General features: G+C 43.9%; 1 protein-coding gene across 1 annotated transcript in view, besides 1 other annotated feature; it reads left to right on the top strand.

The window, feature by feature from the left end:
- The window catches only part of UBE2QL1 (ubiquitin conjugating enzyme E2 QL1), a 47,865-nt gene extending 41,689 nt beyond the window's left edge, over positions 1–6,176 (top strand). Inside the window, exon 2 of the mRNA NM_001145161.3 lies at positions 671–6,176. Within this exon, the coding sequence (NP_001138633.1) occupies positions 671–802 (132 nt within the window). The 3' untranslated portion in view covers positions 803–6,176. The remainder of the gene's footprint in view (positions 1–670) is intronic.
- Positions 2,466–2,565: a silencer, noted in NCBI's record as "silent region_15897". NCBI's record gives its function as "represses an Ori minimal core promoter by ATAC-STARR-seq in GM12878 lymphoblastoid cells {active_cell/tissue: GM12878}" and the evidence as "EXISTENCE:reporter gene assay evidence [ECO:0000049][PMID:35858748]".
- Positions 6,177–12,767: the final 6,591 nt, after the last annotated feature.

Here is a 12,767-nt window from a genome sequence, read left to right on the forward strand (position 1 = left end):
ACCTCTACCCTCTCTTGGACCTCGAGGATGGGTCTCTTCTTCCATGAAAATGTCCACCGTCACCTCACAAAATGGTGCTGAAGTGACATGAATTCCAATAAATTCACTAATGGCTCTGGAACTTGAATTTTAAAAAATAGAGTTTTAAATATTAGTAGAAATATACAAATATACACATCTCTCTATAAATATATTTATCTTCCCTGTTATCACAGAGGAATTTGAAGTGATAATTAAAGGCATTCTTTTGAGGGAGGGAAAGGAAGTTCGAACAGTATATTGCCTCAGGGAGAGAATGCTTGGCTGTGAATTGATGCCCTTTTGGTAAGGCCGTCCCCTCCTGCGTGTCTCAGGAACTGGGGCAGAGATTTCTCTGCAGCACTGTGGAATGAGCAAGTTCAGATTCAGCCAGTGCTGTGTGGGGGTTTGTAAAGACAGCACCCCCCTCCCCTAAAAGGCTGCCAGCCCCAGGCTGCCCTATCTGTTTGGTGCCAGAGCTGAATTGTTCTGCATCTGGGCAGTGAGGCTGCCCCCACCCTGCTGGTGGCCAGTGCATTGCATTGATTCAGACATCAGAAATCCCCACGACTCTGTGTGTTTTTAATAAAGATGGTAGGAAACAGAATTCCCAGTGACGTTCTAACCTGGTTTTTCTTCTCATCTCACGCAGGGACGGATCTGTAGAAAAGCTGGCAAATCAAAAAAGTCCTTCAGTCGCAAGGAAGCTGAAGCTACCTTTAAGAGTTTGGTGAAGACGCATGAAAAATATGGTTGGGTCACCCCGCCCGTGTCCGACGGCTGATGTCTGCCACGTGCAGTAGACGCTCGAGCGCCTGTCCACACACACACCAGTACCCTGACATCTCCTCAATGCTGTGCATCCTCCACCCGTTTTTACTCCAGCCAGAACTGCATCCTGAATGCCCAGGAGACGTTTAAGTTATTTATGAAAAGATGTGTGTACAGAGAGGAAGAGGGAGCAAATGCCGTTCGGATTATGTTTCGATTATAAATGAATGATCACCTCGAAGTCACTTTAGAACACATGTTGAGATGGTGACATTTCCCAGCCTGCCTGCCCCTCTGCCCACCCCGGTCACATTGCCCTGAGCTTCTTTCCATGACAGCAGCTCCGACGAGCCGGCAGGAAACTCAATGCCCCTGCTGGCTCCATTTCCATGTAAATGGCGCCGTTCATATTTCACAGGGACGCCGTGCATCTCCGCCGTGCGTCCCCGGCACGTGTTTGCTGTGCTCTGTATCTCTGTTTTTCTTCCTGGAAGGTCAACATAACTTGAAAATGTGTCTTTCTGTGGCCCATGGTCCGCTGTGATGACATTTAGACCTCATTTGTGCTATGACCTTTGGCTCATGAAAACACAAATTTAACATTGCCAGGTTCTAGTGATTTAAAACCACAACTGCCCACTTGGTGAAAACGTGCTCTCGATGCTGATTTGTGGTGTGCTGCTGTCCACAGATAAACCAGTGCCATTAGATGGAAGGCAGAGGATACTGCGACCACCCCTGGCAGACGGTGGCGTAGACACCAGGTGCGCCCTCTGGGGCTCAGAGCAACGGATGGTCAGCTGCGAACAGTCTCGTCCGATGTTAGGAAATGGTCCTACGGCCGCGCCTTTGTGTTCCTGTCTTCTCTCCACCACCAAAAGCAAAAGATGATTTCCCATTCACTGCAGTCATCTGACTCATTTTAATATCTGTGCTAGTGACAATGAATGTCAGAACTGCCAAAGGATACCAAGTGATCATACGATGATTTGCATGATCGGGTCTATTTCACCCAATAGTCACTTGTGTGTCCCCCGAAATTGGGATGGGTGAGCACCCTTGCTGTGGTGTAAACTTCCTGTTATTTAATCTCCCCCACGGTTTCATTTTTCTCTTCTGTTAATACTTAGAACTTTCTAAGAAACTCCATGAAATGAGGAAATACTGTTTCTAATAATATGAGGAAAGAAGTAAAAATGTTCATTCCAAGTGGCAAGTCTTATTGGACACATTTTAAATAAAATCATGCATACCTGATACACTGCCTCAAGGATCCAGTCATTGTGGGCTATCCTTCCATTTAAAATATTTCAGATATTCTTAAATTTTTTAAATATTGCAAATACTACAACATGTAATTCCAGAGCAGCGTTCTAAGTCAGGTACCAGAAATGAGTCTTAGGAACCCATAGTCTTTGCAAAAATTCAGTAGATTGAAATAGTCCCCAGAAGCAGCCAAGGAGCTGAAGGGATGATTCGATCAAGTTCAGATGTTGCCAATTGTATCTTACTGCTGTGAAGGAGGAAAAGTCTTCCGGGATAATGTATTCAATTCTTCAGGCAGTTTTGTCTACTTGGGGACCTGCCCATTGGTTCAAGGTTTTCAGAGATCCAAGAGGCCTTGCCTCAAAGAACAAGGATTGGCGCCTTTCAGCAGGGCTGCCCATTCACCAAACTTATTGTTACTTTTGTTTTTCTTTACCACTTTCTTATTTGCCCCCAAGTGCACACAGGCAGCTCTGCCAGACCAAAATGACAGTGTATTAAGAATGCAGGGCCTGCTCAGCTTCCCTGTGAGTCATAATAGTCGTGAAACTTGATGACAGTGAACTTACGATGTTCATTCATCCAACCCTCTATGGTGGCATTCTCCATCCTGGAAACCTGACATTTGGCTGACGGTCTTTGGACCCTGGAGCTAGTGGTCATCATGGAATTACACTGTGGAGATGAAAGACCTAGGACAGAAACATCTTGCTAGGGAAAGCACCTGAGTTTATTCCTTTCTAAATATTTTCCTCTTCTAATGAAAACTAAAAGCAGCTTTACTTTAGGGGGAAAAATATATCCAAAGGCAGGTCATTTCAGTAGTGTTTATTAGCTGATTGAAAAACAGGTTCACGGTGCTCTCTGAGAACTGCACCAAGGGGTGCAGCCAAGAGACTGGTCTGACCCCGGGTTGGGCTGGGTGGCAGCCGGCGACAGAGCAGAGAGACACTCAGCTCAGTGTCGCTCCTTCCATACACTCAGAGTTTGATTTTTCTTGCATGGCATTTCCATTAGGTTTGTTAGAAACTTATAGAAGAAATCAATTCTTTAGTGAACGAAATACCATTTTTCACTCAATTGGTAAGAATTTTTCATTTTAAAAGCAGTAGGAAGTGATGTAAAACTCTACCATTGCTTGGACTGTTAGGAGTGCGGACTCCCTTTCTGGTAGACTCCCTTCGTAGGCAAGCACGGTGGTGCCCAGCCATGGAGGCACCCTTAGGACACTGAGCACAGGCCTGGCTGCCTGTGCCTTGGCCACAGCCTCCTTCCACCCCACTGAAGTGGACACCTGCCTCTGGAGCCCAGGGTGAGAAGGAGAGGCCTGAAGCCTGGGGCCACGTTCCCACACAAGCCAAGGAACCTATTCCTCTTTGGACAGACAGCGAGGGAATAATCAGACAGTGGGTGCAAATGTTCATGTCCCGATAGCTCCACACACCCATGTATCTGTGGGAACTCAAACCAAGCCAGAGCCCACAGAGCCAAACAAACAGAAAATCACAAACCCATCTGTCCTCTTCTCAATGCAGAACTCCTTCCCGTCCAATAATTTTCCTGAACCAATCACCCTTGTTATTGGGTATCTTCTCCACTGCTGGGTAAGGCCTGCACATGGTCTGTCTGTAACTTTCTAGAAGACTGAGAACTGCTTATGCCTTAGGGAGTTCTATGTGAGCAGCAAGGTTATTCCCCCTAGTTACACACACACGCACATGTGCCAATACTCCTGCAAAGACTTGCTGTTTCTAAAATCCACTACTCAGAAAAACCAGGGTGTCGGCTTAAAGTTTTCAGCTCCATCTATCAAAATTTGACCTTTTTTTAAGAGAAAAATATGTAGATGAGTGAAAAAGACCTAGGATTGAAAGACAAAAAGCCATGTGTCCATGTAACCCTGGCCAGTCACTCCACCTGCCTGAGCCTTGGTTTCCTCAGCTGTGAGCTCCTACCAGGTCAGTGTGGGAATTGGCCAAAATGACGCAGCAGAAGTGCTTTGGAGACTAAAGATTGTCAACGAAATGTAAGTGTCATTTTCGTAGTATTAGGACGTTTACATTACAGCAGGCTTTAATTAGAACCCACTTAGATATCGACTCAGAATGATCAATTACAGTGGTTAAAATACACATACCTGGTAATCATATACTTGCTTTCTGTCCCCAGTTCTTACATTAAGTCAACCAACTGACCCAAAAATCAACCAATAACTAACTGGCCATCTCTCCACTCACTCAGCATTCTCCTCTTAAATGCAGGGCATGCAGAAGATTAAGGTACAGCCCCTTCCCTGGATAGGAACTCAAAAGATAGGAATAGCGCACAGGCACCAGCACCAAGCAAGGCAAGTGCCAAATTGCACTGCAGAAATTAAAGACATGTGCAAGTCCAGAGATTTTCTGACTGAAAACCAGAAAGATTTCATGGAGTAAATCAGGTTTGAGCCATGGCTGGGCAAAGGGAAGGAGAAGGGCAGGTGTAGCAGGTGTAGAAATGGGAGGGGCTGAGGGCACCTTGAAAGGGAGCGTGGACTCTGTCCTCACTGGCCCTGAACGGGAGAACTGGAGTCCCCTTGCCACCTCTCACCTGCAGAGTCCCTATTCATGGAGCTGATTTCAGGAAGCAGGACACGGTCCCACCTGACAGCCTAGCCTGGCGTGTGGAGCTTGCCCTGTGTGTAGCAATTATATTTCAGTGTACCCATCCAATAGCATGCGAAATTTTAATGGAATTTGCTTTCTAAAGGGGCAGAGCTTACTTCCTGACTGTAGTGAGGGTAGAGCCACTGAATCTGGAAGACCACTTAGCCTAATTTTACACCCTCTGCAGTGAAGGAGGCGAGCCCAGAGACTTTGAGGGGCTTGTCCACAGTAGGACAGGAGCCACAAGGCCACTGCCTTACTGTGGCTTTCTGATCCTTTATGTTGCTTCATGAGACTATTAGGCAATTCATGTGGCCCTCACCAAACACACACTCTTCACCCCATCATTGAATCAGTACAGTTGCAAGTCTTCCAAGCCAGCTGAGAAACACCCACAGGATCCATTCTGTGCCCAAAGCAAATTGGAGCAAAGGGCAGAAATTCCCTCCAACTGTTTTGGGAAGCTTCTGTAAGGGGCTTGGAGCTCAGCCTATGGGACTGTAGTCAGAACTTTGTAATTTTTTTCTCCAAAGACAGTGAAATCATGTACAGCTCTGTTCTTAGTTTTCTGCTAGGTTCTACTTATCCTTCTAATTTTTGCAGCCTCTAGTTCCCATAGTATTAAATATCATTTTTAAGCCCAGGGCCTGTCTGATCCACAGAATGTGGTCAATAATCTGGAAAGGCAAACAAACTCTGTTGACATTCGGGAAAGCAATAAGTAATGTTAGTTTGGTTCCAGAAGAAACACGGGAGCAAAGTGTGCTGGCCAAACAGCAACAATCAAAGCAGAGGGGAGCAAGATTTTCTTTCAAGGTCATGATAAGGCTAGACAAATAGAGTGCAATGAGGGGGTCAGGTGCGAGGCCGTCCTCCCAGGTCAGTAAGGCCGCATGGAGGGATAAAGAGATCCCTGCACTGCCCCCAACCGCCAATTCACCCTGTGTCTCTCGCAGAATTAAAGCCAGGAGGTGGCTTTCTCTTTCCTTCTACTGGTGGTAAATTAAGTGACTGTCCTACTTTGTAGACATGCAATCGTTTTGTACCTCTAGACCTTGGGCAGTCACTGGTGATGACACTAATTGAACTAACACAGAAACTGCTGTCACCTGATGTGCTTGGTTTCATTCCTGCCTGCCTTCTCTACAACGTGACTTCATTTCATGAATGTGGTTGCCATTATGACAGTGCTAGGATGCTGATCTGTACACCATGAGTGACTGCGAACTTTCAGACTCTCACCGCAATTCATGGGGAGACTTTGGTGTATCCTGTTTCCAGAGTTGTCCTCTTCTGTGATCCTCAAAAGAAGAGAAAAAAACGCATGTGGCATAAATCAACAGGAAAGAAATGTTTACCACTGGAAGATGGTGAGTGCATGAGTCAAATAATCTAGAGGCACTGCCCTAATGAGAAAAAAAAAACAATGATTCTAGAAAATAAAACTTTAAAACCAATAAACGTCTTTACACGGAATGCTTGCTGTGTCCTCGCATGGTCTGTGTTCAGTAATTCTCAGGATTTATCTGGGTCTCCACATGTGTTCTCCCCACGGGCCATGGTGAGTGACTTTCTGTCACTTGGCACCCTCTGATCTTGTGTCCCTTGACTCATTCGTGGTTTGCCAAATGAAAACCTTGAAGTATATCATGCGTATTCTCCACAAAAATCAATGAAATGTAACTGAACCAAATCTAATTAATCTAATCAGTGTGATTTAGATTTCTCCTTCAGCTGCCATTTGCATTATAAAGATGCTTAAACATTATTGACAAAGATTTCCATTAAAGTTTCTCAATATAAGTGAAATAGTGTGCTTAGCACAAAACTGTAGCCTAAACTACTACTGAACTATAGAGCTATTTCTTTGGAGAACTTACAGAGTAACAATTCTGGAAAATGACAATTTTCAAGTGCCCTAAGCACAATTTATCGAAGAGGTACTTCAGCTCACTTTTCATACTAACATGTATGTTGGTATTCAGTTTTTGTTTTAAGCTGTTTACCCGAGGAATTTCTCAGCCCTAGTCAATATTCAAGATCATTTTCTAATCAAGAGAGTATTTTTTAAAATCTCAAAATGTGGCTATTTTAGTACTGAACAGGGCTGGGCTGTTGATCAGATCAGAAAACCACGCCTCTTATCACATGTAGATAAGGCACTCAGCCTTACACCCAGACACTTGGCTTGCACCTTCCAAACTGAAATTCTGCAGTGCATGTCTACTGCTGAGGGCTGTAGTGACAAGACAGGAAATGTGTGGGAAGCAAGAGCCCAGGGCCTGATGTGTAACTAGAACTCAGTACATTATTGTACAAATAACAGTGAGATTGATTTGACACAGTCAAGTTGACCACTTGAGTTGGCTGTTGGGATCCACTTTCAGGCTGTTCATTTCATCCAGGTGAATTTGCATCCTTTCCTTTGGGTGAAAGCATGAAAGATACACCGTCAATAGGGCATTGACTCTGAACTTGTGGGGTGATGGAGATGGAAGTGTGCCAAATCACAAACTCTCCCCAGAGTGCATCCAGCCTCAGCTGTGTCAGAGAGTTATAGGCAGTGGTCTGGGTGATCTGTGTCCAGGGACGTATTTTTCTTAAGGCCAAAGTAAAAGGCCCAGCAGGATTGAACAGAGCCCTGGCCTTTCACGTTGACAATTCAAGGTGTGTTCTGTGTCAGTAGGATAGGTGCAGGGCAGAGCTATATAAAATTCATGCTCTCCAGCTCTTCTTTGCCACTTAGGTGTTTGTCTTAAGAGAGGTCTTGATATGGTTTGGCTCTGTGTCCCCACCTAAATCTCTCTTGAATTATAATAATCCCGACATGTCAAGGGCAGGACCTGGTGGAGATAATGGAATCATGGAGGCAGTTTCCCCCATGCTGTTCTCATGATAATGAGTGAGTTCTTATGAGATCTGATGGTTTTAAAAGGGGCTTCTCCCTTCATTTGGCACTCATTCTCTCTCCTGCCACCCTATGAAGAGATGCCTTCCACCATGATTGTAAGTTTCCTGAGGCCTCCCCAGACATGTGGAACTGTGAGTCAATTAATCCTCTTTTCTTTATAAATTACCCAATCTTGGGTATTTCCTCATAGCAGCATGAGAATGGACTATTGCAGGTCTATTTCCATGCCAGAATAAATGTTATTGGAAACAAGTTATTTTTATTTAAACAAGGGGAAATGATAGAGATATTAAAGTAGACATACATACAAACCGCTTGACAAAATGAAGTTGAAATAGTTCAAGTTTCGTTTGTTCAACCTTCGAGTGTCGGGATTATGTATAACTGTACAGCAGTGAGCCAGGATACCAGCAACAAGGTCAGGATACGGTGAGTTTTGAAAGTACAATTTTTTTTAAACCCATTACAGATTATTTTTTGAGTCATTAAAGGTTTTCATATAATAATTTTGAAGGTAAAATCCAATGGAATAATTATAAGCAGCATGAATAAACTTTCCCATAGGAAAACATCCTTTTTTTCTTTTCCTACATTTGCAAAGTTTTTAATTTCTCAAAGACCTTTTAGAACTATCTTCTCATTTCATCTCTAGGCAACACTGAGAAGCAGATTTAGTAGGCAATAGTGTGCAGCTTATAGATCAGAAGCAGGCATTAAGTATAATTGATTTTTCTAATCTGATTTTACTTAAATATGGTCAATTACTTTCCTGTGTCACTACAACATTACATTAAGTCAATACTAAAACAACTTTTAAGTCTCTAACTCCAAGGATGTTTCTAGCTACAACTTTGCAGTTGTATCATTTAAACCTCTTTTAAATGCTTCCCATAATTTTGCATTAGATCGTGTTCCTCGCCTTTACCAAATGCTGTGTATATTCCCACACATGTGCTTGGTTTCATTCCTGCCTGCCTTCTCTACAATGTGACTTCATTTCATGAATGTGGTTGCCATTACGACAATGCTAGGATGCTGATCTGTATACCTTGAGTCACTGCGAACTTTCAGACTCTCACTGCAATTCATGGGGAGTTTTAAACCCCCATTAATTACATAAACTTGATTTATGTAATCTTATTCTCATTGTTTCAAGGGTTTTCTTCTCACTTTACTCTAGTTTCTACATGTTATGGTGTTGCTTTTCCATAAAACATGCCAATTTCCAAAACAGCATACAGTTCCTTATAACACTGCCTCCTTTGTTCTCCTCCTTTTCTGTGCTCCTGATTCTCCTGGGGGGCCTCCTTTCTTGCCTGCCGGGGATCTTGTGTCCCTGTCTGATGTCCTCAGAGCCCTGGACCTCATGGCATCCAAGGTTCAGACCTTCTCATATTCAAATGGGAATAGAAGCTGCTTTTGGTAAGTGATATTTTGGAGCTTGTTAAAATTTACTCTAGAAAGATAGCATCAAAAATTAAAGCAAAGCATATGACTTATAATTTTCGTGCCAATTATTTACTTAATAAATAAATGGAAAGGGCCTCAGGGATTCTTAGGATCAACTCCGTGATTTAATTTGGTTCTGTCTGCCCTAGGCTCAGTCCTCAGCTCAGAGCCTGTTCAAACACACTTCCATGCCTTCACGTAGAGGGGTTTAAAACTAGCCTAGTCCAATGACTTCTTAGAGTGAAAGGATTCTTTATGAGAAGGGAAGTATAACCCAGAGACCCCATTTTCTGAAAGATTGTTTTAAGGCACAGGAAGTTAAATTCAGAGTCTGGGGGCTTCATCGTAGTGTATTACGATGCTGGGACCAGACACGGGGGCCTTGAGACTTCAGTCATGCTGCCTGAGAAATATAAAGTGTATCTGCCCACACATGCATAGGATGAATCCAGGAGTGCGGCACTGCCTTGGAACATGGAGAAAGAAAATAGAAGAAACCAACCCTGGCAGTGTCTTGATTAGGACTTCTGACCTCAAGAACCATGAGAATAAATTTCTGGGTTTGTTTTTTTGTTTGTTTGTTTTTTGTTTTTTAATTTGAGATGGAGTCTCACTCTGTTGCCTGGCTGGAGTGCAGTGGCGCGATCTCAGCTCACTGCAGGCTCCGCCTCCCAGGTTCAAGTGATTCTTCTGCCTCAGCCTCCCAAGTAGCTGGGACTACAGGCACATGCCACCACACCCCGCTAATTTTTTTGTATTTTTAGGAAAGATGGGGTTTCACCATGTTGGCCAGGATGGTGACTCAGCCTCCCAAAGTGCTGGGATTACAGGCATGAGCCACTGTGCCCGGCCAAATTTCTGTTGTTTTAAGCCACCAGATTTGTGTTAATTTGTTAATGCAGCCCTAGGAAAAGAATATAGGTAGAGATAGATGGATATAGATGTAGATATAGAAATAGATACATACATACCTCCCAAGTTTATACTCTTATGAATGATCCCCCCAAAAGAGAAAAGAATTTCTTCAATTGGGTAAGATTTACTCACTTCAGGCTATATTAGGGCACATAATTTTGTAATCTAACAATGGAGGACACATAGTTGTTTAAAATCTGATTTTGTTAATCAGCCACCCAAATTAGAACCACTAGCAACTATATACGGGTCACAGCAATAGTGTAGGTCATTGTCAGTGGGCCAGAGGATTCCTTACAAAATACAACACACCATTTCAAAAACACCACTGAAACCCACATCTTTTCAAATAATGTCAATTCCCACATAAGTTCTAAGCACTAACCTCCAGGGGTGCCAACGTCCCACCCCTCATAGTGAAGGAATACCAATAATGGTCAAGAGAAGAAGTGGATTATTTTGGGGCCAGGTTGCTATAGTGTGAAGCTTTGCAGGTAGGGGACAAATAGATTAAAAGCATGGGCTTCTGAATGAGAGTTTTCTGTTGACTCAGTTTCCTGGAAGTTTCCAGCTCATTTGGTTGTCACTTTGGATTTCTCCCTCTTTTTGAACTTACTTTAATTTAGTCTTCTCCCATAGGGCTGGTGAAGTGCAAAGGACTTGGGTGGAAAATGTCAGACAGAAACCAAGTGGAATGCAGAGGATGGACGGATGAGTGATTGGGTGGATGGGTTGGATGAACTGATGAATGAATGGATAGATGGATGGATGGACTGGGTGACTGGATGGATGGATGGATGGATGGATGGATGGATGGATGGATGGATGGATATACAGATGATCAGATAAATGGATGGATAGATAAATGGATGGATGGATGGATGGATGGATGGGTGGATGGATGGATGGGTGGATGGATGGATGGATGGATATACAGATGATCAGATAAATGGATGGATAGATAAATGGATGGATGGATGGATGGATGGATGGATGGATGGATGGATGGATGGATGGAAAAATGGTTGGATGTAATGAATGGATAGATGTTGGATGGATGGATAGATAAATGAATAAATAGATTAGATAGTGGATGGTGAATGATTCAGGCCTGCCCTATGGCCCTTACATGGAAATATTTTCTCCCTTGACATTTTTTCTAGGCAAGGTTGTTTCTCCCATAGGGGCTTAGGTTAGACTATGGGGACCCAGGAAAGGAGCCTAAAGAAGCAGTTCATTCTGCTTCTTAGCACCAAAGGCCAGAGGCACACAAAGAGTTCTCCTTCTTTACAGAAGACACAGTTCCCCGCAATCCACCACCAGCGCTCAGCGTTCCTCTGAGCCCAGTGGGGCAAAGCTCAGGCCAGGAACACAGCTTTTACCTGCCAGAGTGTCCACCAGGCAGATATCGCCCTCAGGTGTCCAGGTGGTCTAGATCAGAATTTAGGCTCGAGTCCCATCCACCACATGTTAATCACGCAGGACCTCACAGATAAGAGTGTAAGTAAGAAATCCTCAGGCATATGGAAAGTTTGCTCCTCGTTTCCTGCCATGTCAAAATAACAAATGCAAAGCAGAAATTGCTAGATAATATACTTCTATGCCCATTAATTCACTATGTTTTATTTATATTTATTCTTGTTCTTTTGGTAAGACCTTCAATGCATCCTTAGTGTCTATTATAACAGAGTTTGGAATTTTTATTTTTTATGCTGCTTCTACTGCCTTTCAGACATAATTCACGAGCACAGAGAATAATATCCTGTACTATGTCCCAGGGAATTGCTCCCTAAGTCCCTAAGATCCTGGACAGAAGGCAGCAAGTTAAAACTCGATGTTTTTCCTGGCTTTTTCCAAACTATCCGCCTTCAGAGAAGCCTTTCAGAGGCCTTTGGCACTTGGCAGTCTGAAGTGGTCCTGTCCCTGTAGGATGCTCTGGACTGTATGTGCAAGTGTGTGGGAGGTTGTGGGCTGGATTCATTACCTTTATTCCCAATCCTCATCAGGCCAGGGCTAAATGAAACACAGAGTCATGCATGTTTCATGGGAAATGGGTGGCGTCTGGCCTCTGTTGCCCTCTGTATCAAAGCATCCTGCAGGGAAAGGACCACTTCAGACAGGGCTGCAGGTCATGGAGCGGCCGGGCATTGGGATTGGGAGCCCCTGCCAGACACTAGACTCAGAGCTGGACACCCATGGTCCCATTTACATTCATCTGATGTCATGTTAGTGTCAGCATTTGAGGGAATGTTAGTGTTCACAGTTCAGGGAAAAGAGACACCAAAGAGCTGAAGCGACCCCCCCACAGCCACACTCTGATGAGCAGAATCGAGTATAGAATAAATTCCGCAGGATTCCTCCTTCGTAGGTGGCAGATTATTGGATTCACTGAAAGCCATCCCTTTGAGTTTCTATCTTTCTGAAAATTCAAGTGCCAAGGCCTTAGTGCTGTCAATACTTTGTCCCACTGGGAGGAAAGAGCAAAGGTCCCAGCAGTGCATGGGTGCTGGGCTTCAGGTGAGGAAGGAAAGGAGCTAGGAAGAAATCAGAAGCTTGCAAAGAAGAGCAAGGAAAAAAGTCCCTGCAGGTAAGCCAGTCACACTTGGAGGTGACCTCCCCAATGAGTCACAACCACATCATCCCCTGCCCTGAAGTGGGGAAACCAATAGAATACGGCAAAGGGAATGGGATATCACCCCATGATTATGTTACATTATATGGCAAAGATGAAGAGGTTTTTGAAGATGTAATTAAGGGCCCTAATCAGTTGAGTTCCAGTTATTGAAAGGGAG

Source organism: Homo sapiens, chromosome 5, assembly GCF_000001405.40.
Source record: "Homo sapiens chromosome 5, GRCh38.p14 Primary Assembly".
NCBI classification, from domain to species: Eukaryota; Metazoa; Chordata; class Mammalia; order Primates; family Hominidae; genus Homo; species Homo sapiens.